This window comes from Homo sapiens, chromosome 6, assembly GCF_000001405.40.
Source record: "Homo sapiens chromosome 6, GRCh38.p14 Primary Assembly".
NCBI classification, from domain to species: Eukaryota; Metazoa; Chordata; class Mammalia; order Primates; family Hominidae; genus Homo; species Homo sapiens.
In genome coordinates, this window is record NC_000006.12 from 141,961,930 (window position 1) to 141,986,110 (window position 24,181).

The 24,181-nt window shown below is 39.4% G+C and overlaps 1 long non-coding RNA gene across 1 annotated transcript in view, besides 1 other annotated feature; it reads right to left on the reverse strand.

Annotated features, from left to right (window-relative positions):
• The window catches only part of LOC105378031 (uncharacterized), a 181,459-nt gene that overhangs the window by 112,962 nt on the left and 44,316 nt on the right, over positions 1-24,181 (reverse strand). The window lies entirely within an intron of this gene.
• Positions 2,090-2,290: a silencer, noted in NCBI's record as "peak6169 fragment used in MPRA reporter construct". NCBI's record gives its function as "represses an SCP1 promoter by STARR-seq MPRAs in K562 erythroleukemia cells {active_cell/tissue: K562}" and the evidence as "EXISTENCE:reporter gene assay evidence [ECO:0000049][PMID:32103011]".

Here is a 24,181-nt window from a genome sequence, read left to right on the forward strand (position 1 = left end):
GCAATGCCCAGGGCATCAAAAAGGGAACAAAGCAGCCAACAAAGACACAAATTTGGCTGCCTGGGAAGCACAGGTGCTTGAGGGCTGTCATACCTCTTTGGACTCACCAGACTCGAGCCTCACTATACTGAGGAGGATGAAGAGTGTGCCCACGATTGAGGGTTAACTAATGCAGACCCTAGTTCACCTTGGAAGACTACACTCATGGGATCATTTGGCTCCCAAGACTTTGGTTTGTTCAATTCTCAAACATTTACATGAAGGAACCCACTATGGAAGGGATACCCTAGTTGACTTAATACGGCCCTACCTCAGAGGGCCACACATTTGGAGAATCATCCAGAAAATCACACAAGGATTCTACCCATGTGCAAAAAGTAATCCCAAAACTGAACATAGTCCACCCGAGAAAGGAGCACAACACCAAAGGCTGAGTCCATATGAAGACTGGCAGGTTGACTTCACACAGAGGCCCAGAGCAAGTGAAAACTATAAATTTCTACTTAGTGTTTGTAGACATATTCTCAGGATAGATTGAAGCATACTCCCACTGATTCTGTAAAGGCCACAGAAGTAGCAAAAGCTTTGCTAAATGAAATAACTCCTCGTTTTGCACTTCCTTGCTCTGTACAAAGTGACAGTGGTTCTTCTTTTGTTTCCGAGGTTACCGGGAAGATAAGTCAAGCATTACAGATGAAATGGAAATTGCATTCATCATGGAGTCATAGTCAATAGGAAAGACAGAAAAAATAAACCAAACTTTGAAAAAGATAGTGGCTAATCTCCATCAGGAAATGGATTTAAGTTGGGAAAGGGTCGTACCCATTGCCTTTATCAGAGTAGTGCCCTGAAGCAGTCTAGGGTTAACCCCTTTAAAAATTATTTATAGGTGATCCTTCCAAAATCCCTCCCTGGGAATCCCACCTTTAGTCTAGTAGGTGAACCAAGAATGAAACAACATAAACAACAATTAGGGCAGACATCACTAACTATGCATCAGTTTTCCCTTTCCAGGTCCGCATATCCCACAGACAAGCCTCTTCACCCTTTCTACCCAAGAGATAAAGTGCTGCTGAAGTCTTGGGAAAACAAAGGACAAAACCAACAGCTGCTGAAAAGTGGACAGGATATCAATGAACTGCTAACCACCCACTCATTAGTGAAGCTGTCTGGCGTTAAGCCATGGATATATCATACTCAGGTGAAGGCTGCCCCTTCTCCACCTCAGATAACCAACCTGCCTGGACCTATGAATCAGAGAGAGACCTAAATTGTTTCTTTAAAAGAACCTTGACAATAAGTAGAAACTTCTTTCTTTGCTCTCATAATATAAAGCTCTTATTAGTTTTTATCATAATAAGTACATTTTTTGTGCTCGCTAAAACTAATAATTTTTTGCTGTAGTAGGCACAGCACTATGCACAGTTTACAACAAGAAAATTTGCTGAATATGTGGTCAATAACCCTTTTCCAACAACTCTGGTCTGCCTTAGTAGGTTTTACCTATGCAGGGAAATGACTGGCAGTATCTGAAAACATTCATTAAAATTCTGAAACAATATGCCAGGCACTGTAGCTCACGCTTATAATCCCAGCACTTTGGGAGGACAAGATGGGAAAATTGCTTGAGCCCCAGAGTTCAAGTGCAGCCTACACAACATGGCAAGGCCCCGTCTCTACAAAAAAAATTTAAAAATTAGCCAGGCAAGGTGGTGCATGCCAGCTGTTGTCCCAGCTACTCAGGAACCTAAGGCAGGAGCCTAAGGCTCTCTGAGCCAGGGAGGCTGAGATTTTAGTGAGCTATAGTCATACCACCGCACTTCAGCCTAGGTGACAGAGTGAGACCCTGACTCAAAAAAACAAAAATTTTTAAACAATAGGGTGGTGTGATGGCTTACACAACCAGGAGCAATGTGATCAATTGGCCAATTAATAAAACTCTCAGTGATTCCAGACATGGGAAGCCTTTCTCAATGAATATCACATAAGAATATGTGAACAGCTATAACCAATCTGCAACTAAGTCCTAAGATAAAATCTAGCAATTCTCACTGTAAAGAAGTTTTTCTTCATATTTGAGATGGTTTCATTTTGTTGACATCAACTGCAGGGCAGTTGAGTCAAGTAGCTCCTCTATACTGGAAGCATCAAAATGACACCTGTGACTCATCACCCAATCTTATTTGAATACTGAGCTTGATTTCCCAAGAACACTGTCAGCATATCATAATTTTGCAAGCCACAGATTTGTTTGCCACAGATTGGTCTCAGTGTTCCGGCTTAAACTGGTATTAGTCCAACAGCACTGAATGGCTGTATGGCCCTAATATCTCACTTTGCTTGCCATTGGAATGACTAGGACAATGTACTTTAGGTTTCCCATGGGTGCAAGGGCAATGGAGAAAGTACAATCAAAAACTTGCTAATCCCCCACACCTAATTAAGACACGGACTAGATCCATTTTTCACTGGTATGACTATTTGGCTTCAATCCTTATGCCATTAGCAGGATTGAAGATGTCATCCAATATGTAGAAACCCTTGCAAATTATACCCAGTGGGTTATCAATGACAGCCTCCAAAGTATCTCCTTAGTAAACTCTGGGATGACCTACATGCAAGAAGCTGTTCTGAAGAACTGCATGGCTTTGGATATCTTTGCTGCACGAAGGGGACCTTGTGTCTTGTGCCATTATTAAAACTGAATATTGCGTATATATTCCAGGTAAGTAAGGGAATATTTCTATCCTTCTAGGATATGCACAAACGGATTAATGCTATGTCTGACCTTATGATGTCACTAGACCAATGGCTATCTTATTTGTTTGGGCCAGGAACTTCTTGGTGGAAAAAGCTGCTCATAATTCTAGCGATGATTTTAGGAATAGGTGTGCTTCTTTGCTGGGGATTATATATTGCCATACATTCTGTATGAATGTGAGGGCTCTTGAGCCCTCCAACAGATCTCTCCTATAAGTCCAGGTATTCAGGAATATTTTCAAATCCACGTAGACTGGTTACATTCCCTGAACATCTCCATCAAGGAGGAAGTAGCTAGATTGAATACATTACCCACCTTCTAAAGAAATAAAATGGAAGTTGACAGTGGAGAGTTGTAATTGAGTGGCTTGACTTTAAAATGCATTTTAAAAATTATTTTTCCTTCTCTCTAATCTTAGCCTTCAAATGTACTTTGAAACTGTTTCTCTCCTTTCTCACCAGGCACTCCCTTGCACTGCATTCACATATCTAATTACGTGCTTGCTTAGACATTCCAGGAGCTAATCTTGAAATAAAACAGGCAGGAAGAGCCAGCAGCAGAATTCTCCCCATCTAAGGGTTACCCATAGCAATTAATCTACAACCTGGCCATTGTCAAGATGGTGCCAGCCCACATTCCAGGTGGACAATTGCCTACAATAGCCATCAGAACCAGACACAGAGACCCTATACCCTGCTCCACACCTGCATACCTCTCATGCCAAGTTTCTCTTCTGAAACTCGCTTACCTACAGTTTTGAAATGGCTTTTGGAGGTATGAGCCCAGCCATTTCCCAACTTCCAGCATTTGAATAATGTTGCTTTCCCTTCACCACACTTCACTTCTTGTATTTTGGATTTCCAGTGATGAGCAGCTGGACTTGAGTTCAGTTACATTTCTATTTCTGGCTCAGACCTCTCCCCACCTTCTTTCACTGACATCTCAAATTGAACATGCTTCAAACTTAACTCTTGATATTGCTCCCCAGAATCTGTTCTGCCCACAGTGTTCTCCATTTAATTTATGAAACATCATCCTTCCTGTTGTTCCAACCAAAAACACTGAAACCATTCTTTACTCTTTTATTTTTCTCAATTATCACATCAAATTAATCAGGAAATCTTTTTGATTATTTTAAAAAACATATCCAAAATGGACCACTTATCACCTCTGTTGCCACTAGCCTGACGTGAGTGGCCAGTATCAGTCTTGTCGACATCACTTTAGTAGCCTCTTAACTGATACGTATGACTATATTTTTGCCACCCTCCACACCCTCATCACCATACTCCCATAGAGTCTATTCTTGACACAGCAGCCAGGTTCCTGTATAAAAACATTTCATATGGTAAAGATGGCTGTATTAGTTTCTTTTCATGCTGCTGATAAAGACATACCTGAGACTGGGCAATTTACAAAAGAAAGAGTTTTAATGGACTCACAGTTCCACGTGGCTAGGGAGGCCTCACAATCATGGCAGAAGGCAAAAGGCACTTTTTCCATGGCAGCAGCAAGAGAAAGAATGAGAGCCAAGTGAAACAGGTTTCCCCCATCAAACCATCAGATCTCATGAGACATATTCACTAGCAGGAGAACAGTATGGGAGAATCCTCCCACATGATTCAATTATCTCCTCATGGGGCCATCCCTCAATACGTGAGAATTACGGGAGTACAATTTAAGATGTTATTTGGGTGGGGACACAGCCAAACCATATGATTCTGCCTCTGGCCCCTCCCAAATCTCGTGTCCTCACATTTCAAAACCAATCATGCCTTTCCAACAGTCCCCCAAAGTCTTAACTCATTTCAGCATTAACTTAAAAGTCCACGGTCCAAAGTCTCATCTGAAACAAGGCAAGTCCCTTCTGCCTATGAGCTGTAAAATCAAAAGCAAGTTAGTTACTTCCTAGATACAATGGGGGTACAGGCATTGGGTAAACACACCAGTTCCAAATGGGAGAAATTGGCCAAGACAAAGGGACTACAGGCCCCATGCAAGTCCAAAATCCAGCGGGGCAGTCAAATCTTAATGCTCCAAAATGATCTTCTTTGACTCCACGTCTCACATTCAGGTCACACTGATGCAAGAGGTGGGCTCCCATGGTCTTGAGCAGCTCTGCCTCTGTGGCTTTACAGGGTATAGCCTCCTTCCTGGCTGCTTTCACAGGCTGGTGTTGAGTGTCTGCAGCTTTTCCAGGCACGCGATGCAAGCTGTCAGTGGATCTACCATTCTGGGGTCTAGAGGATGGTGGCCCTCTTCTCACAGCTCCACTAGGCAGTGCCCCAGTAGAGACTCTGTGTGGGAGCTCTGACCCCACATTTCCCTTCTGCACTGCCCTAGCACAGGTTCTCCATGAGAGCCCTGCCCCTGTGGCAAACTTCTGCCTGAACATCCAGGCATTTCCATACATCCTCTGAAATCTAGGCGGAGGTTCCCAAACCTCAATTCTTGACTTCTGTGCACCTGCAGGCTCAACATCATATGGAAGCTGCAAGGCTTGGTGCTTGAACCCTCTGACATCATGGCCCCAGCTATACCTTGGCCACTTTTAGACTGGAGTGGCTGGGATAAAGGCATCAAGTCCCTGTACTGCACATAGCACAGAGACCCTGGGCCAGGTCCAGGAAATGACTTTTCCCTCCTATTTTCCAGGCCTGTGATGGAAAGGGCTGCAGTGAAGACCTCTAATATGTCCTGGAGACTTTTTCCCCATTGTCTTGGGGATTAACATTCAGCTTCTTGTTACTTATGCAAATTTCTGCTGCTGGCTTGAATTTCTGCTCAGAAAATGGTATTTTCTTTTCTATTGCATAGTCAGGCTGCAAATTTTCCAAACTTTTATACTCTGCTTCCTTTATAAACCTGAATGCTTTTAACAGCACCCAAGTCACATCTTGAATCCTTTGATGCTTAGAACTTTCTTCTACTGCATACCCAAATCATCTCTCTCAAATTCAACTTCCAGAAATCTAGGGCAGGGGCAAAATGCCACCAGTCTCTTTGCTAAAACATAACAAGTGTCACATTTGCTCCAGTTCCCAACAAGTTCCTCGTCTCCATCTGAGACGACCTCAGCCTTGACCTTATTGTTCCTATCACTATCAGCATATTGGTCAAGGCCATTCAACAAGTCTCTAGGAAGTTCCAAACTTTCCCACATTTTCCCATCATCTTCTGAGCCCTCCAAACTGTTCCAGCCTCTGTCTGTTACCCAGTTCCAAAGTTGTTTCCACATTTTCGGGTATCTTTTCAGCAGCACCCCACTGTACTGGTACCAGTTTACTGTATTAGTCTGCTTTCACTCTGGTGATGAAGACATACCTGAGACTGGGCAATTTACAAAAGAAAGAGATTTAATGGACTTACAGGCTAGGGAGGCCTCATAATCGTGGTGGAAGGCAAAAGGTACTTCTTACATGATGGTGGCAAGACAGAGAATGAGAGCTGGGCAAAACAGACTTCAGATTTCCCATTATCAAACCATCAGATCTCATGAGACTTATTCATGACCATGAGAACAGTATGAGAAAAACCACCCCCATGATTCAATTGTCTCCCACAGGGTCCCTCCCACAACACATGGGAATTATGGGAATACAATTCAAAATGAGATTTGAGTGAGGATACAGCCAACCCATATCAATGGCAATTCTTCACAAAATAATCTATGAATTTAATACAATTTTAGTTAAAATTTCACATAGTTTATTTATGGAAAGCTTATCAAAAAATTTCATAGAAATATAAAATTCCCAAGAATAGCTGTGATGGTTAATATTAGATGTCAACTTGATTGGATTGAAGGATGTCTAGATAGCCGGAAAAGTATTGTTTATGGGTGTATCTGTTAGGATTTTGTCAGAGAAGATTGACATTTGAGTCAGTGGACTAGGAGAGGGAGACCAACTCTCAATGGGAACTGGAGCAAATTGGTAGGCACCATCCAATCAACTGCTAGCACAGCTAGAACAAAGCAGACAGAAGAAGGTGGAATAAGCTGGCTTGCTGAGTCTTCTGGCTTTCATCTTTCTCCCATGCTGGCTGCTTCCTTCCTGCCCTTGGACATCAGACTCCAGGTTCTTCTAAATTTGAACTCTTGGACTTACGCCAGTGGTTTGTCAAGGGCTCTCGGACCTTTGCCCACAGACTGAAAGCTGCCCTGTTGGCTCCCTGCTGACGAGTCTTTTGGACTTTGACTATGCCACTACCAGCTTCTTTCTTCCTCAGCTTGCAAGCAGCCTAATGTGGGACTTTACCTTATGATCATATTAGCCAATTCACCCTAATAAACTCCCTTTTATATATACATATATCCCATTTATGCTGTCCCTCTAGAGAACCCTGACTAATACAGATTTTAGCCATGGAAATCTTGAAGAAAAAGAGAAAGAGGAAGAGAAGGGGGAGGACCAAGAGGTGGAGGAAAAGTAGGTGGCAGGGGAATGCAGCAATGATTGAGGAGAAAAAAATGGGAAAGATGGAAGGAAGGAAGGAAGGAAGGAAGGAAGGAAGGGAGGGAAGGAGGATTGCCAGCCATCATTCCAGAGGTCACAAGATACGCTACTTCCCCAATTACTCCGGCAGAATACATCACTATTACAAAACCTAAAATTGGCTTTTGAGATATCTTTTCAGATTTTTTGCATGCCTGATACATATGATGACTCAACCTGGACCCACCCGCTGCTTCTGAGGCCCCACCCAGGAGTAATTCAGAGCAAAGGAGAATCATTTCCCATACTCCTATGATTGCACCCCCCAACCAAACAGCAACAAGCATCCATTGTCTAGCCATCCCCACCCCGTTCCACAAACTACCTTTGAAAAACCCCTTGAGGGTAGAGCCAAGATAGCCGAATAGGAACAGCTCCAGTCTACAGCTCCCAGCATGAGCGATGCAGAAGTCGGGTATTTCTGCATTTCCATCTGAGGTACCGGGTTCATCTCACTAGGGAGTGCCAGACAGTGGGCGCAGGACAGTGGGTGCAGCACACCGTGCGCGAGCCGAAGCAGGGCGAGGCATTGCCTCACTCGGGAAGCGCAAGGGGTCAGGGAGTTCCCTTTCCTAGTCAAATAAAGGGGTGACAGACGGCACCTGGAAAATCGGGTCACTCCCACCCCAATACTGAGCTTTTCCAACGGGCTTAAAAAACGGCGCACCAGGAGATTATACGCCACACATGGCTCGGAGGGTCCTACGCCCACAGAGTCTCACTCATTGCTAGCACAGCAGTCTGAGATCAAACTGCAAGGCGGCAGCGAGCCTGGGGGAGGGGTGCCCGCCATTGCCCAGCTTGCTTAGGTAAACAAAGCAGCCGGGAAGCTCCAACTGGGTGGAGCCCACCACAGCTCAAGGAGGTCTGCCTGCCTCTGTAGGCTCCACCTCTGGGGGCAGGGCACAGACAAACAAAAAGACAGCAGTAACCTCTGCAGACTTAAATGTCCCTGTCTGACAGCTTTGAAGAGAGCAGTGGTTCTCCCAGCACGCAGCTGGAGATCTGAAAACGGGCAGACTGCCTCCTCAAGTGGGTCCCTGACCCCTGAGCCCCGAGCAGCCCAACTGGGAGGCACCCCCCAGTAGGGGCAGACTGACACTTCACATGGCTGGGTACTCCTCTGAGACAAAACTTCCAGAGGAACGATCAGACAGCAGCATTCGGGGTTCATGAAAATCCGCTGTTATGCAGCCACCGCTGCTGGTACCCAGGCAAACAGGGTCTGGAGTGGACCTCTAGCAAACTCCAACAGACCTGCAGCTGAGGGTCCTGTCTGTTAGAAGGAAAACTAACAAACAGAAAGGACATCCACACCAAAAACCCATCTGTACATCACCATCATCAAAGACCAAAAGTAGAAAACAACAAAGATGGGGAAAAAGCAGAGCAGAAAAACTGGAAACTCTAAAAAGCAGAGAGCCTCTCCTCCTCCAAAGGAACACAGCTCCTCACCAGCAATGGAACAAAGCTGGACGGAGAATGTCTTTGACGCGCTGAGAGAAGAAGGCTTCAGATGATCAAACTACTCCGAGCTATGGGAGGACATTCAAACCAAAGGCAAAGAAGTTGAAAACTTTGAAAAAAATTTAGACAAATATATAACTAGAATAACCAATACAGAGAAGTACTTAAAGGAGCTGATGGAGCTGAAAGCCAAAGCTTGAGAACTATGTGAAGAATGCAGAAGCCTCAGCAGCCGATGGGATCAATTGGAAGAAAGGCTATCAGTGATGGAAGATGAAATGAATGAAATGAAGTGAGAAGGGAAGTTTAGAGAAAAAAGAATAAAAAGAAATGAACAAAGCCTCCAAGAAATATGAGACTATGTGAAAAGACCAAATCTACGTCTGATTGGTGTACCTGAAAGTGACGGGGAGAATGGAACCAAGTTGGAAAACACTCTGCAGGATATTATCCAGGAGAACTTCCCCAATCTAGCAAGGCAGGCCAACGTTCAGATTCAGGAAATACAGAGAACGCCACAAAGCTACTCCTCGAGAAAAGCAACTCCAAAACACATAATTGTCAAATTCACCAAAGTTGAAATGAAGGAAAAAATGTTAAGAGCAGCCAGAGAGAAAGGTCGGGTTACCCTCAAAGGGAAGCCCATCAGACTAACAGCGGATCTCTCGGCAGAAACTCTACAAGGCAGAAGAGAGTGGGGGCCAATATTCAACATTCTTAAAGAAAAGAATTTTCAACCCATAATTTCATATCCAGCCAAACTAAGCTTCATAAGTGAAGAAGAAATAAAATACTTTACACACAAGCAAATGCTGAGAGATTTTGTCACCACCAGGCCTGCCCTAAAAGAGCTCCTGAAGGAAGCACTAAACATGGAAAGGAACAACTGGTACCAGCCACTGCAAAATCATGTCAAATTGTAAAGACCATTGAGACTAGGAAGAAACTGCATCAACTAACCAGCAAAAGAACCAGCTAACATCATAATGACAGGATCAAATTCACACATAACAATATTAACTTTAAATGTAAATAGACTAAATCCTCCCATTGAAAGACAAATTAAAAGGCAAATTGGATAAAGAGTCAAGACCCATCAGTGTGCTGTATTCAGGAAACCCATCTCATGTGCAGAGACACACATAGTCTGAAAATAAAAGGATGGAGGAAGATCTACCAAGCAAATAGAAAACAAAAAAAGGCAGGGGTTGCAATCCTAGTCTCTGATAAAACAGACTTTAAACCAACAAAGATCAAAAGAGACAAAGAAGGCCATTACATAATGGTAAAGGGATCAATTCAACAAGAAGAGCTAACTATCCTAAATATATATGCACCCAATACAGGAGTACCCAGATTCATAAAGCAAGTCCTGAGGGACCTACAAAGAGACTTAGACTCCCACACAATAATAATGGGAGACTTTAACACCCCACTGTCAACATTAGACAGATCAACAGGACAGAAAGTTAATAAGGATACCCAGGAAATGAACTCAGCTCTGCACCAAGCGGACCTAATAGGCATCTACAGAACTCTCCACCCCAAATCAACAGAATATACATTTTTTTCAGCACCACACCACACCTATTCGAAAATTGACTACATACTTGGAAGTAAAGCTCTCCTCAGCAAACGTAAAAGATCAGAAATTATAACAAACTGTCTCTCAGACCACAGTGTAAACAAACTAGAACTCAAGGTTAAAAAACTTACTCAAAACCGCTCAACTACATGGCAACTGAACAACCTGCTCCTGAATGACTACTGGGTACATAACGAAATGAAGGCAGAAATAAAGATATTCTTTGAAACCAACGAGAACAAAGACACAACATACCAGAATCTCTGGGACACATATAAAGCAGTGTGTAGAGGGAAATTTACAGCACTAAATGCCCATGAGAGAAAGCAGGAAAGATCCAAAATTGACACCCTAACATCACAATTAAAAGAACTAGAAAAGCAAGAGCAAACACATTCAAAAGCTAGCAGAAGGCAAGAAATAACTAAAATCAGAGCAGAACTGAAGGAAATAAAGACACAAAAAACCCTTCAAAAAATTAATGAATCCAGGAGCTGGTTTTTTGAAAGGATCAACAAAATTGATAGACTGCTAGCAAGACTAATAAAGAAGAAAAGAGAGAAGAATCAAATAGATGCAATAAAAAATGATAAAGGGGATATCACCACCGATCCCACAGAAATACAAACTACCATCAGAGAATACTACAAACACCTCTACGCAAATAAACTAGAAAATCTAGAAGAAATGGATAAATTCCTTGACACATACACCCTCCCAAGACTAAGCCAGGAAGAAGTTGACTCTTTGAATAGACCGATAACAGGCTCTGAAATTGTGGCAATAATCAATAGCTTACCAACCAAAAAGAGTCCAGGACCAGATGGATTCACAGCCGAATTCTACCAGAGGTACAAGGAGGAACTGGTACCATCCCTTCTGAAACTATTCCAATCAATAGAAAAAGAGGGAATCCTCTCTAACTCATTTTATGAGGCCAGCATCCTCCTGATACCAAAGCTGGGCAAAGACACAACCAAAAAGGAGAATTTTCGACCGATATCCTTGATGAACATTGATGCAAAAATCTTCAATAAAATACTGGCAAAACGAATCCAGCAGTACATCAAAAAGCTTAACCACCATGATCAAGTGGGCTTCATCCCTGGGATGAAAGGCTGGTTCAATATACACAAATCAATAAATGTAATCCAGCATATAAACAGAACCAAAGACAAAAACCACATGATTATCTCAATAGATGCAGAAAAGGCCTTTGACAAAATACAACAACCCTTCATGCTAAAAACTCTCAATAAATTAGGTATTGATGGGATGTATCTCAAAATAATAAGAGCTATCTATGACAAACCCACAGCCAATATCATACTGAATGGGCAAAAACTGGAAGCATTCCCTTTGAAAACTGGCACAAGACAGGGATGCCCTCTCTCACCACTCCTATTCAACACAGTGTTGGAAGTTCTGCCCAGGGCAATTAGGCAGGAGAAGGAAATAAAGGGTATTCAATTAGGAAAAGAGGAAGTCAAATTGTCCCTGTTGGCAGATGACATGATTGTATATCTAGAAAACCCCATTGTCTCAGCCCAAAATCTCCTTAAGCTGATAAGCAACTTCAGCAAAGTCTCAGGATACAAAATCAATGTACAAAAATCACAAGCATTCTTATACACCAATAACAGACAAACAGAGAGCCAAATCATCAGTGAACTCCCATTCACAATTGCTTCAAAGAGAATAAAATACCTAGGAATCGAACTTACAAGGGACATGAAGGACCTCTTCAAGGAGAACTACAAACCACTGCTCAATGAAATAAAAGAGGATACAAAGAAATGGAAGAACATTCCATGCTCATGGGTAGGAAGAATCAATATCGTGAAAATGGCCATACTGCCAAAGGTAATTTACAAATTCAATGCCATCCCCATCAAGCTACCAATGACTTTCTTCACAGAATTGGAAAAAACTCCTTTAAAGTTCATATGGAACCAAAAAAGAGCCCGCATCGCCAAGTCAATCCTAAGCCAAAACAACAAAGCGGGAGGCATCACGCTACCTGACTTCAAACTATACTATAAGGCTACAGTAACCAAAACAGCACGGTACTGGTACCAAAACAGAGATATAGATCAATGGAACAGAACAGAGCCCTCAGAAATAATGCCGCATATCTACAACTATCTGATCTTTGACAAACCTGAGAAAAACAAGCAATGGGAAAAGGATTCCCTATTTAATAAATGGTGCTGGGAAAACTGGCTAGCCATATGTAGAAAGCTGAAACTGGACCCCTTCCTTACACCTTATACAAAATTAATTCAAGGTGGATTAAAGACTTAAACGTTAGACCTAAAACCATAAAAACCCTAGAAGAAAACCTAGGCATTACCATTCAGGACATAGGCATGGGCAAGGACTTCATGTTTAAACACCAAAAGCAATGGCAACAAAAGCCAAAGTTGACAAATGGGATCTAATTAAACTAAATAGCTTCTGCACAGCAAAAGAAACTACCATCAGAGTGAACAGGCAACCTACAAAATGGGAGAAAATTTTCGCAACCTACTCTTCTGACAAAGGGCTAATATCCCTTTGTCAGATATCTACAATGAATCTACAATGAACTCAAACAAATTTACAAGAAAAAAAACAAACAACCCCATCAAAAAGTGGGCGAAGGACATGAACAGACACTTCTCTAAGGAAGACATTTATGCAGCCTAAAAACACATGAAAAAATGCTCACCATCACTGGCCATCAGAGAAATGCAAATCAAAACCACAATGAGATACCATCTCACACCAGTTAGAATGGCAATCTTTAAAAAGTCAGGAAACAACAGGTGCTGGAGAGGATGTGGAGAAATAGGAACACTTTGACACTGTTGGTGGGACTGTAAACTAGTTCAACACTTGTGGAAGTCAGTGTGGCGATTCCTCAGGGATCTAGAACTAGAAATACCATTTGACCCAGCCATCCCATTACTGGGTATATACCCAAAGGACTATAAATCATGCTGCTATAAAGACACATGCACACGTATGTTTATTGTGGCACTATTCACAATAGCAAAGACTTGGAACCAACCCAAATGTCCAACAATGATAGACTGGATTAAGAAAATGTGGCACATATACACCATGGAATACTATGCAGCCATAAAAAATGATGAGTTCATGTCTTTGTAGGGACATGGATGAAATTGGAAATCATCATTCTCAGTAAACTATCGCAAGAACAAAAAACCAAACACCGCATATTCTCACTCATAGGTGGGAATTGAACAATGAGAACACATGGACACAGGAAGGGGAACATCACACTCTGGGGACTGTTTTGGGGTGGGGGGAGGGGGGAGGGATAGCTTTAGGAGATATACCTAATGCTAAATGACGAGTTAATGGGTGCAGCACACCAGCATGGCACATGTATACATATGTAACTAACCTGCACATTGTGCACATGTACCCTAAAACTTAAAGTATAATAAAAATAAAATAAAATAAAAAAAGAAAAACCCCTAACCTACAAGCCTTCAATGAGATTGATTTGAGTAATAACTCCATCTCCCATATGGTGTAACCAGCGTCATGTCTATTAAATTATTTATTTACTGCAATGCAATGGTCTTTGTGCAGTGTGCAGCAAGAACCTGTTGGGCAGTTACATTATACAGACCAATAAAAAAGACAAGTGTTTCTGTCAAAAACAACTTTCTGAAAGTTTAGGAGAGACCTCAAAAACTCAAGTCCCTGAAATGTACTGTCAAATTGAACATAAAATATAGTAAAAAAAAAAAAAAAAAAAAAAAAAACACTGAGATAATTCTGCAATAATTTCTAAATGTGCACATTTTCAGGAAATTTCTTACAAAAGTCAAACTGAATGCAAAACACCAGTGGCTTATGCAAAAGAAGATGTCATAGGAATTTGATTAGTGTTGGCCCAATGCGTTAAGTGACTTTGCATTTACAAATTAGTGTCTTTATGCTATATTCTTATAATTCTTCAATTTAACCTTCTTTGGATTATCCAACATCAAATTCTAACTGTATTGGGTAAAACCATTGCACTTACATGCACAAGCATTTGTCGTACCATAGTCGTAACAAGAAGAAGCTGGATTCAAAATTAATGAAATGCCTCTATACCATAACAGTAAAATGATCAGAGTTATATGCAGTACAAGGAAAATATATCCAAAATAAATTGCTAATTGTAAGCCAAAAAACTTTGTAAAATATTATATAGAACATGTCTCTAATTTTTTATTTGGAGAAAATGGTGTTCAAATATAGAAGGAAAAAAGAAAATTAAATAGAATAAAAGATTAAAAAAATGAATCGAACTATAAATAGTGGTTTGTCTTGTTCCTATTTTTCTTTTCTTTTGATGTACTTTACTCTGTAAATATAGCCTGAGTACCCCTTATCCAAAATGTATGGGAACAGAAATGTTTTGGATTTCAGATGTTTTCAGATTTTGGAATTTTTGCATTATATGTACTCACTGGTTGAATAAAAGCAAGCAGTATTTTCTCTGGACATTATGTTGAAGCTCAAAAAATTTTGGATTTTGCAGCATTTCGGATTCTCAGTTTTGGAATGCTAATCTAGTATATGATTTATTTTAAAAAATTAATATTGTTTTTAAATAATCCACACCCATTTATAATCCAACTTGCCCTTTTTGGTTTTTCTAAAAATGCTTTATACAACAGATATTCTATTTGTGTCAAACTAATGAAATATATTTCAAATAAATGATATTTTCTTTCTCTACCCTCTTTGCCTTTGGAGACTAATCCCAGAGCACTAAGTTGTATGGCAGGGATTTAGACTTTAAACAACCTGTCAGTCATTTAAATTGCTGATTAATTTTGGCTTGGCACCACTTATGATCTTAGATCAAGTGTTTGATGAAATAATCAGTCATCTGTGCCTGCTTTGAAAAATTAGCATGCACGTTTATTTGTCAAAATGTCAAAATGAGTCTAATTTTTAAGTACTGTCCTGTGCAGCATATGTCAGCATTTCTCAACATGAAGAGGGTAACTCTCTCCAGGCAACAACCATGATGACTCTTGTAGCAAGACCACCTTTGCAAACTTTCCTCACAGATTTTTCATTAGAAAAGTTAGGTAGAGCTAGAGCTACAGACTGGGGGAATTAGTTCTTCAAGTTTTTTTTTTTGTTTGTTTGTTTGTTTTTGAGACGGAGTCTCTCGCTCTGTCGCCCAGGCTGGAGTGCAGTGGCGCGATCTCGGCTCACTGCAAGCTCTGCCTCCCGGGTTCACGCCATTCTCCTGCCTCAGCCTCCTGAGTAGCTGGGACTACAGGCGCCCGCCACCATGTCCGGCTAATTTTTGTATTCTTAGTAAAGACGGGGTTTCAGCGTGTTAGCCAGGATGGTCTCGATCTCCTGACCTCGTGATCCACCCGCCTCAGCCTCCCAAAGTGCTGGGATTACAGGCGTGAGCCACCGCGCCCGGCCCAAGGTTTTTATCAGTACCCATATTAAAACTAAACTTTTTTTCCTTTTTTGTTTAAAGAAAAAGCTATGGACTTTCATTTATTTCATAGAGTTATTAAATGGAAAGCAAAGTCTATTCTAGGTGTTGGGAAAATAATCCAGGAGTTATTCCTATGGGAAATGGAGCTGAGCAATTTGAAATCATACCAATTCAGTATTTATACATTAATATTTATTGAGATCACTATGTGTGTAAAACTTTATCTCTAAAATTACAGAGAACGACAATGACAGAAGAACACAGAATTGGCAGTCACAAATTACAGTCAATCAATGTCAAACATCAAGGTATTATTACTTGAAAAGAATGATGTCATTAACCTAAAAACAGTAGGATCTAGGGCTCCATTCACACTTTTCTAACAGAAGATAGAATCTACGTTGATACAATGCATTCTTCTAAGAATAGTTCTATCATAAAACTTATATTTTTATTCAACTATATGTCTGTGGTAAACTAGTAAAAATTTACTGTTCTCTCAATTTTGTTACCTGTGTCTTAAATATCCTTTTCTTTTACTTTTTTTTTGTTTTTTATTTTTTTATTTTTTTTGAGACGGAGTCTCGCTCTGTCGCCCAGGCTGGAGTGCAGTGGTGGGATCTCAGCTCACTGCAGGCTCACTGCAAGCTCCGCCTCCCGGGTTCACGCCATTCTCCTGCCTCAGCCTCCCGAGTAGCTGGGACTACAGGCGCCCACCACCACGCCCGGCTAATTTTTTGTATTTTTAGTAGAGACAGGGTTTTACCGTGTTAGCCAAGATGGTCTCGATCTCCTGACCTTGTGATCCACCTGCCTCGGCCTCCCAAAGTGCTGGGATTACAGGCGTGAGCCACCGTGCCCGGCCTTAAATACCCTTTTCATAATAATATATGTAGATAATGTAAAAACAAAGCTAAACAGGAATCATTAATAATTATTTGAAAATAATATGCTTCTGTAGACAAAAACAAAAAGAAATACACTTGAAAAGAAATTATCACTCTCTTGATTGGGAAATATAATGTCAATCCCAAAAATAAGAGATAGCCATTTCATAGTTTCTAACTTTTGCACATTTTATAAGGAAAATAAACATGAAAAAGTTTGCTAAGAATGAATATAAAGAGTTATAAAGTGTCAGCAAGAAGTGACACATAAAGAAGGTTGATTCCATAAATAAATATTTATTAAACACCTATTATGCTTCAGATACCTGAATGACCAGTGAATAAGATAGACACTTTCATGAAATTCACTAATGTAAGCATCAAAAATTACAAATATTCCTCTATGAGTTGTTTTAGCTATATCCCAAAATTTAATATGTGTATTTTTATTATCATCTAGTTTAAATATTTTAGCTTTCCATGTAACTTATTACTTTACCCATGATTCTTTAGAAATAATCTGCTTAATTTCCAAATATTTAGAAGTATGTATATATAAGTAATTTTTAATTTTACATATATATGATTTCATAGTGATCAGAAAAGATATTTTGCAGAATTTCAATCCTTTTAAATTTGTTGAGATATTTGTATGGCCCATACCATAGTCTATCTATCTTCATAAATGAACCATATACCTTGAACTGCAGTTGCTGAGTGAAAGAATTTGATCGTTAATTGGTTGATGAGGGTGAGGATGAACCAGGGAAATACCACATTTCTTTTCCTGGATGAGACTGCCACTCACAAAAGTAAAAATCAAACAAATAAAAAACATGCAGAAGTAAGATCAAAAGTGTGAGGTGTGGGTGTTAGTGAATTTATGGGGCACATAGGAAAGCATGCTAGAGAAGACAAGATGGTAAGCAGAGATCATACATGTCTTGGATATGCTGAATATCAGCCAACTAAGAAACTCAAGTATGGCCAGTGATAGTTCACTATATATTATAGATACATCATTCAGATGAGAAGTTTAAGACAGCAATATTATAAAAAGTAAAGTCAAGCATATCCAAATGGGGCTATACATGTTTAAAACAAAACAAAGAATAAAGCAAGGGAAAGGTTATGTTTTCTGGCTCAAATTTAAAAGTTTTGTTTTTACAATTTATATGACACTGAGCCATTCTGGCATAATTTTTCTGATCTTTGTCAGTATTGGCATAGAATAGTAAACAACTAAGGGAAAAGAGTTAATACGTCAAGTAAATTCTAATAAATTTACAATTTAAACTCAGACAATTATCTGAGTTTAAAAATGTACCTCCAACCTACACACACACACACACCACACACAAATACACTTTAAAAAAAATGGCAAATCTATTTAGCCAGAGCATTATACTTCCAAAGGCTTTCCATTCTAGAGGTATCAAAAAGCAGAACTCCTCTAATGGAGAAGGTCTTTACTCTCAGAAGAAACAAATAGGGAACTCTGTGAAGGAAGGAGATGTCCACATACCCATCCAGATCAGTCAATCAGCTCGGTGCTTAGTGGAGCACAGAGGTCACAGGTACACATCTTCAAGTCCCTTACACAAAGGTTACAGAAACTTATCTTTTTAAAATCATGGCTATAAATAATTTTTCCAGGAAAATAAGAAGGATTAGTCATAGCCTACTTAAGCAAATATGTTTAAAGGCCTTGAAATCACAAGGCAATTACTCTGGGCTTGGGAATAGTGACATCTAATTAAAACGTTAAATTAAGTTCAGTAGTGATACCAACTTGTTTACACATTCAAACTAATTTCAGTAAAGTAAATTTAGCCTACAGAGGTCATTTACTTTGGCACCATCCCTTATAATAAAATTATGAATGAGATTTTGAGATTAAATGATGACTAGGTAACTCCTCAAATTTCCCATTGAAAGATTCATTGAGGGGGAGGAGAGAAGGAGGGGGAGGAGGAGAGGAGGAGGGAGGGGAAGGAGAAGAGAAGGAAAGGGAGGATGGACAGGTGGATGAAAACCTGTACACCAAGAAATTGAAACTTCTAACTTCCTTGGCAGGCAGCAATATTCATCAATGCCTTGTCAGGCCTCAGAAAAAATTTCCACTAAACAAAGAATAGTTGAGTTCCTGAAAACAACCTAACAGAGCCTTACACATACTCCTACCACAGTGATAGAGAACATTCACAGTCCAAAAAGTCCTGGTAGTCAACCTTCATCTACTGCATGCCCCTTTCTAAAGAATTTTTTTTCTTATCTTCATGGTGAGAGACCTATGCATGCACCAGCTTGAATGTGCTAATCAGTACCAATACTTTGTACTTTTACAACATGAACAGGGCTTATCTTGATCTTTTTGCAAAGGGAACACCAAAATGTGAATTAAGGAAGAAATTAAAAACAAAAGAAAACTCAGTACCATTTTAGTGTGGAGATTAAGATATTTGGTAAAAGTGTGAAATTAAATATATTTCTGGGAACTCTGAGGTTGGCGTACTATGTAAAGAGGAGTCACGTGAATCAATGTAGGTAATTCCCCAACACAGAAATAAGTAAACCCAAGGAGGGATATTGTGCTGAGTTCTCCCCTACTAGTATTTACCAGTGGAGGAAAATAGTATTGCTGATTCCTGAAAGGAAATCAGAGAGCCCTAGGGCAGTATTAAAGGAAGCTCCATTGAGAGGTTTACTTTCAATGAGCTAGGATGCTAAGATTGGTAATGCACTGAGGCCAAAGAGACATCATGTGACCAGCTATTTGTAATAAGCTGGTGTGTTGAGTTGAAGACTACACCTCCAAGGTTGAATGGTCCCCAAGATTTCTCTATTTACTGCCTAAGTTAGAGTCTTTACTGGAAAAACTACTACCATCATGCAATCTTACCACATCAACCCCACCTAAAAGTGTGCTTTCCTGTCTGTAGCAGCTGGACTCAGGAAATGCAAGTTTCAGTGAGCAATCTCAGCCTTCTTCAGTCCGCAAGTCTGGGGGATATCCCCTTTTTCCACTATGGGAAAGAAGAAACTTTAACAAGTTTGGTTCAGGCAGTTACTTGTCAATTCCCTTACTCTATTTAAATATGATCATCTAATTACATAGTGATAGAATGTTCACTCTTTATATAATATTTATACCTCTTTGAAGATAAATGCATACTCAGTGAAAGATGACTTCTTGGTCTCTGGATATTACCATTCTCCTTAATCAACAGGACTGTATAGCAGGATTGTGTGACTTTCCCGAGTTCAAAATGTTAGTAAGTGGCAGAGCTGGTATACAAATTCAGATGCAAAAACCCAAATTCTCAACTACAACTTCAATTATCTTGGCTACCATAGGAATTGGAGTTACAAATAATTCTAATATAGTGTTGCATTTTAATCATTTTCGGGCCTTACAAATTTTACATCTTTTCCTACTTGATGCTTTCTTGATCTTAACAAAAACTGTGATAAGCCTTTTTTAATATATATTTCCACCTTATCTACTACCTTTTTAAAAGTCCCCACATAGAATACTGAGACTAAGAGGGCCTTCAAGTGATACTATTTATCAATATATCCTAAAATATAAGAATATGTTTCATTTAAACAGATTCAGATACAGAGACTGAATCTTTTCCTATTCAGCAGAAAGTCATATTTTTATTATGTAAGTAAAGTATACTTGTGTATTTCTTCTTATACCAGTTTCAATACAAAATATTTGTTCAATGTCAATGCCATCTACACAATACTGTAATCATATGAGAGCCCAACCTCAAGTAAATTTATGGTGTTTATGGGGTTTGTTTTAGGTTACCAAGTTCCTTAATTCTACACAACTTTCACAGATTTACCTTGCAGGTTGCAGCACTCTCCTTTATCCTCACTGATACTTATTTGTTCAGGGCATCCTAAAATTCCAGCCTTATAAGACAGTCAACTGCCAAGAATGAAATGACTTCATGGTAGAGTAATTAATGTATATCATTCCTTGTCGAAGATATCCTAAGGGATAGTATTATATAAGGTAGACAAAATGAGTGTGGCCACAATGAGACACGGAGAATGTTTAGGAGACAGAGTGAAATGTCATGGCTGAATTTTGACAGAGGGATGAAGTTAAGAAAATCCAAAGAATAACTACCTAGAAGTGAAAGCTTTGGGGGACCTCAGATCTCAAAGACAGAGCATAAAAAATCCAAAGAAGCAATAAGAAAATGAATCCATGACTCATTGAAACAGAACTTTAAAAAGGAAAATAGTTCTACTATAAATATGGTCAAATTGTGATACAGTGATAAATATATAGGCCACGACAATCTTTAAATGTTTTACTATTACTTGGCAAAGCAAGATATTCTTGTCTTCTTTATTGATTTGTTTCCCCCCTCCCTAGTTGTAACATTCTTAATCGTACCCACCCATGTTAAATTCTGACCATTGGTTTGATTACAGAAAGAACACTACACTTTTTCTTCCTTCTGTCTTGCACCATGATCTTATTTATCAGGAAAAGTGATTAGATCTCAGGCAAGTGCAGAAGCGCTCTCAAAAGCAAGAAAAAATTACTCTTTGGCTGGATTTTTTTCTCTTTCTCTAAGTCACTTTATGTGTCTGAAAAACAAAACAAGTTTTATTGTTAATAAAACACTGGTCAATAAATTCTCGTCTCTCACTTAAGACCTCCTTGCCCTACTGTGAAAACTATTTTTAATAAGAAGAAGTAAAAACTTGATGTTGGGTTAAATATGTTATTTCCTTTTATTACCAATAGAAGCAATATTGGAAGTGAAACTAAACAGCAAATAGCATGATTTGTACTTTTTCATTCCCTTGTAATTCTGAAGACAATTGTCACAGAGGTGGTGTTTTTTCTACTAAGCAAAACACCTTGACTTGTATAAACTCATTAAGAGGCTGTGAATGATTCAAATAAATTATGTTTTTCAGTGCTAGAAAACATCAATAGCGGGTGAAAGAGGGAAATAAATGGTTGAGGGTATGCACAAGACTGTCCTGTTCAGGAGGCTGGTGGGTGGTTAGACTCATCATAGAGCATCAGAACTAGAAACAAGGCTGTCAATAGAGTCAGTAAGTATTTGAATAATATCAAGGGGAAAGGAAAGTAAATCTGTTGTGACAAAGAAAATTCTCTCCAGCCACAGCAGGGATTCATGCACATTTAGGGATAGTTCATACCTGGCATGTTTTACTAGAGAACTGCCTCAATTTCATATCCTCCAAGGGATAAGCCCCTTGAGAATCCATGGGTTATTGGAACCTCCTAGGTTTTTCTAGGTATTTTTTTCTCAGCCTGCTGCTGGCCTTTTGCTTCTCTGGTACAAATCAGTTCATTCCATCTGTCTCTCTTCTGTCCTTCTGTATTCAAGCCTTACCTATTTCCCCCAGGGAATGTTCTCCCAAGACAAAGCTTATGAAATCTCAATGACTAAATTTTAAAAGTGGCTTTAACCAAAGAAAAGCTTTAAAAAGGTGGAGGGGGGTGAGGTGGGAAGGATGAGAAGGAATACAGAGATGAACCATCTGGGGAAAGAAAGAATTTGGAGAATAAAAAGAAAAAAAGAATAAGAAGTTGTGTAGACATCATGATACACCTTCCCCAAGGGGTCTGGGGACGAGGATATGGCCAAAGGTAATTAACCTTTAGGTTTGAGACTGAATTCTACTAGTAACCTATTTCTTATCTAAAACTTTAGAAACACTTTATCAAACCTTGTTGGCATTTTTATTAGAATTTCCATATGAAGTAATATATTTCATTGTTTAAGACCATTTGAGTGGAGTCTTTAGTTCACTGCAGCTGAATAAAGAAACAAAAAATGTTTTTAAACATATTACAATTTTCCTAACCATTAGTTAGCAAAAGCAAATCCTACATAAAAAAGAATCAGTGGGTAGCCTGTCAGGCTTCCAGTTCGATTCTTTGAAATTCACTTTTTCCTAATTTCTTCTTCATGTTGAAGAAAAGAAAAGCTACAATTGTGTCTGTTTAGAGCCTTCTTCTTCACAATTTTAATTGTCCTTCTGACTTGAAGTTTTGCATGGAGAGAGGGAAAATTGACCTACTGCCCCGAAAAACGTACTGCTGTGAAATGCTATCTCCTTGGCATGCTCTGGTCATTCTCAATGCTGTTGACAGTTTCTCTTAACTATTTTCATTGTAAAATAAACTTCAGTAAACCAGCTGTAGTGCCCCTCTTTGCTGGACCCAAGTGTTCTTAATCCCTAAATTGATACCTTGCTTTCCCCAAGATCTCCCTAAACAGGGGCCCTCCCGATCAGATTTGGTGATAATTTATACTTCGTAATTTCACTTGACTTACTTTTCCCCATCCCAATCCTCTTAAACCACTTCTCCAAATGGATCAAGGTCCGTTCCAAACCTGCACCAGAAGCAGCTTCTTCACTTTCCCTTCAGGATCATCTGTTCCCACTATTTTTTCTACAGCAGTTTGAAAATATATAATAGTTTAAATCTGTACTATCTCCATTCTTTACTTCAAGACATGTAATATTCTATGGTAACTATGTTAATGACCATCTAGTATATTAAAATGAGACCCCAACTCAATCTTTCAGCAAATATGTATTGAATACTCCTTGTGTTTTAGACATTATGTTGAAAAGCACTAAATGTTGAAAATACTATTATCTAAAATTATGCAAAATCTACCTTTTCATGACAATAATATGGAACGACATAGCTTCAACTATGTGTTATTACCTATATTCAACATAAGATTTGTTAAAATGTGCAGACATTACTTGCTTCAGTCATACCTTACTTTCTCTAGTTTGAGATAATTTATTCAATAATTAATGTATTATATTGTGCATAGTTACATATTATTTAGAGCTAATATTTTTCTTTTCTTAGGAAAGTGGAACACTTTACCCATTAATTTAATGAAACATGTACCTGTTAAAAAGAAGTAAATATTAATCCTATGATAAGCTAATCTTCTAAAATATAACGACAAGTATTACATCTCTATAAATATATTATCATCTCTAATATCTGGAGTTTTTTCTTTAAAGATTACAAATTATGTGTTTGCTGTCTGGACTGCAGAATTTCTAGTATCATAAAAAGTAAAAGCATCATTTCATCACTGCAAATTAGTATCCCTTATTTCTCTGTGAAGGAATTAGGGAAAAATAATTAAAGTATGAGAGTGATCAGCATTCAAATGTGAAAAAGAAAATATCCCATAGCATTTTCCCTTTCTTTCCAATTAATCCTTTAACCTAAATTCCTAGGTTCCATTATGAGAAAACCTTTTCTTGTTCTCTTCTAAGGTCACTTATATAAGCCATCCCACACCACATCTTTTTTTTGGGGGGTGGGGGGTAGGGCAGGGCAACAAAGTCTTACTCTGTCACCAGGCTGGAATGCAGTGGCCCAATCTCGGCTCACTACAACCTCCACCTCCCGGGTTCAAGCGAATCTCCTGCCTCAGCCTCCCGAGTAGCTGGGACTACAGG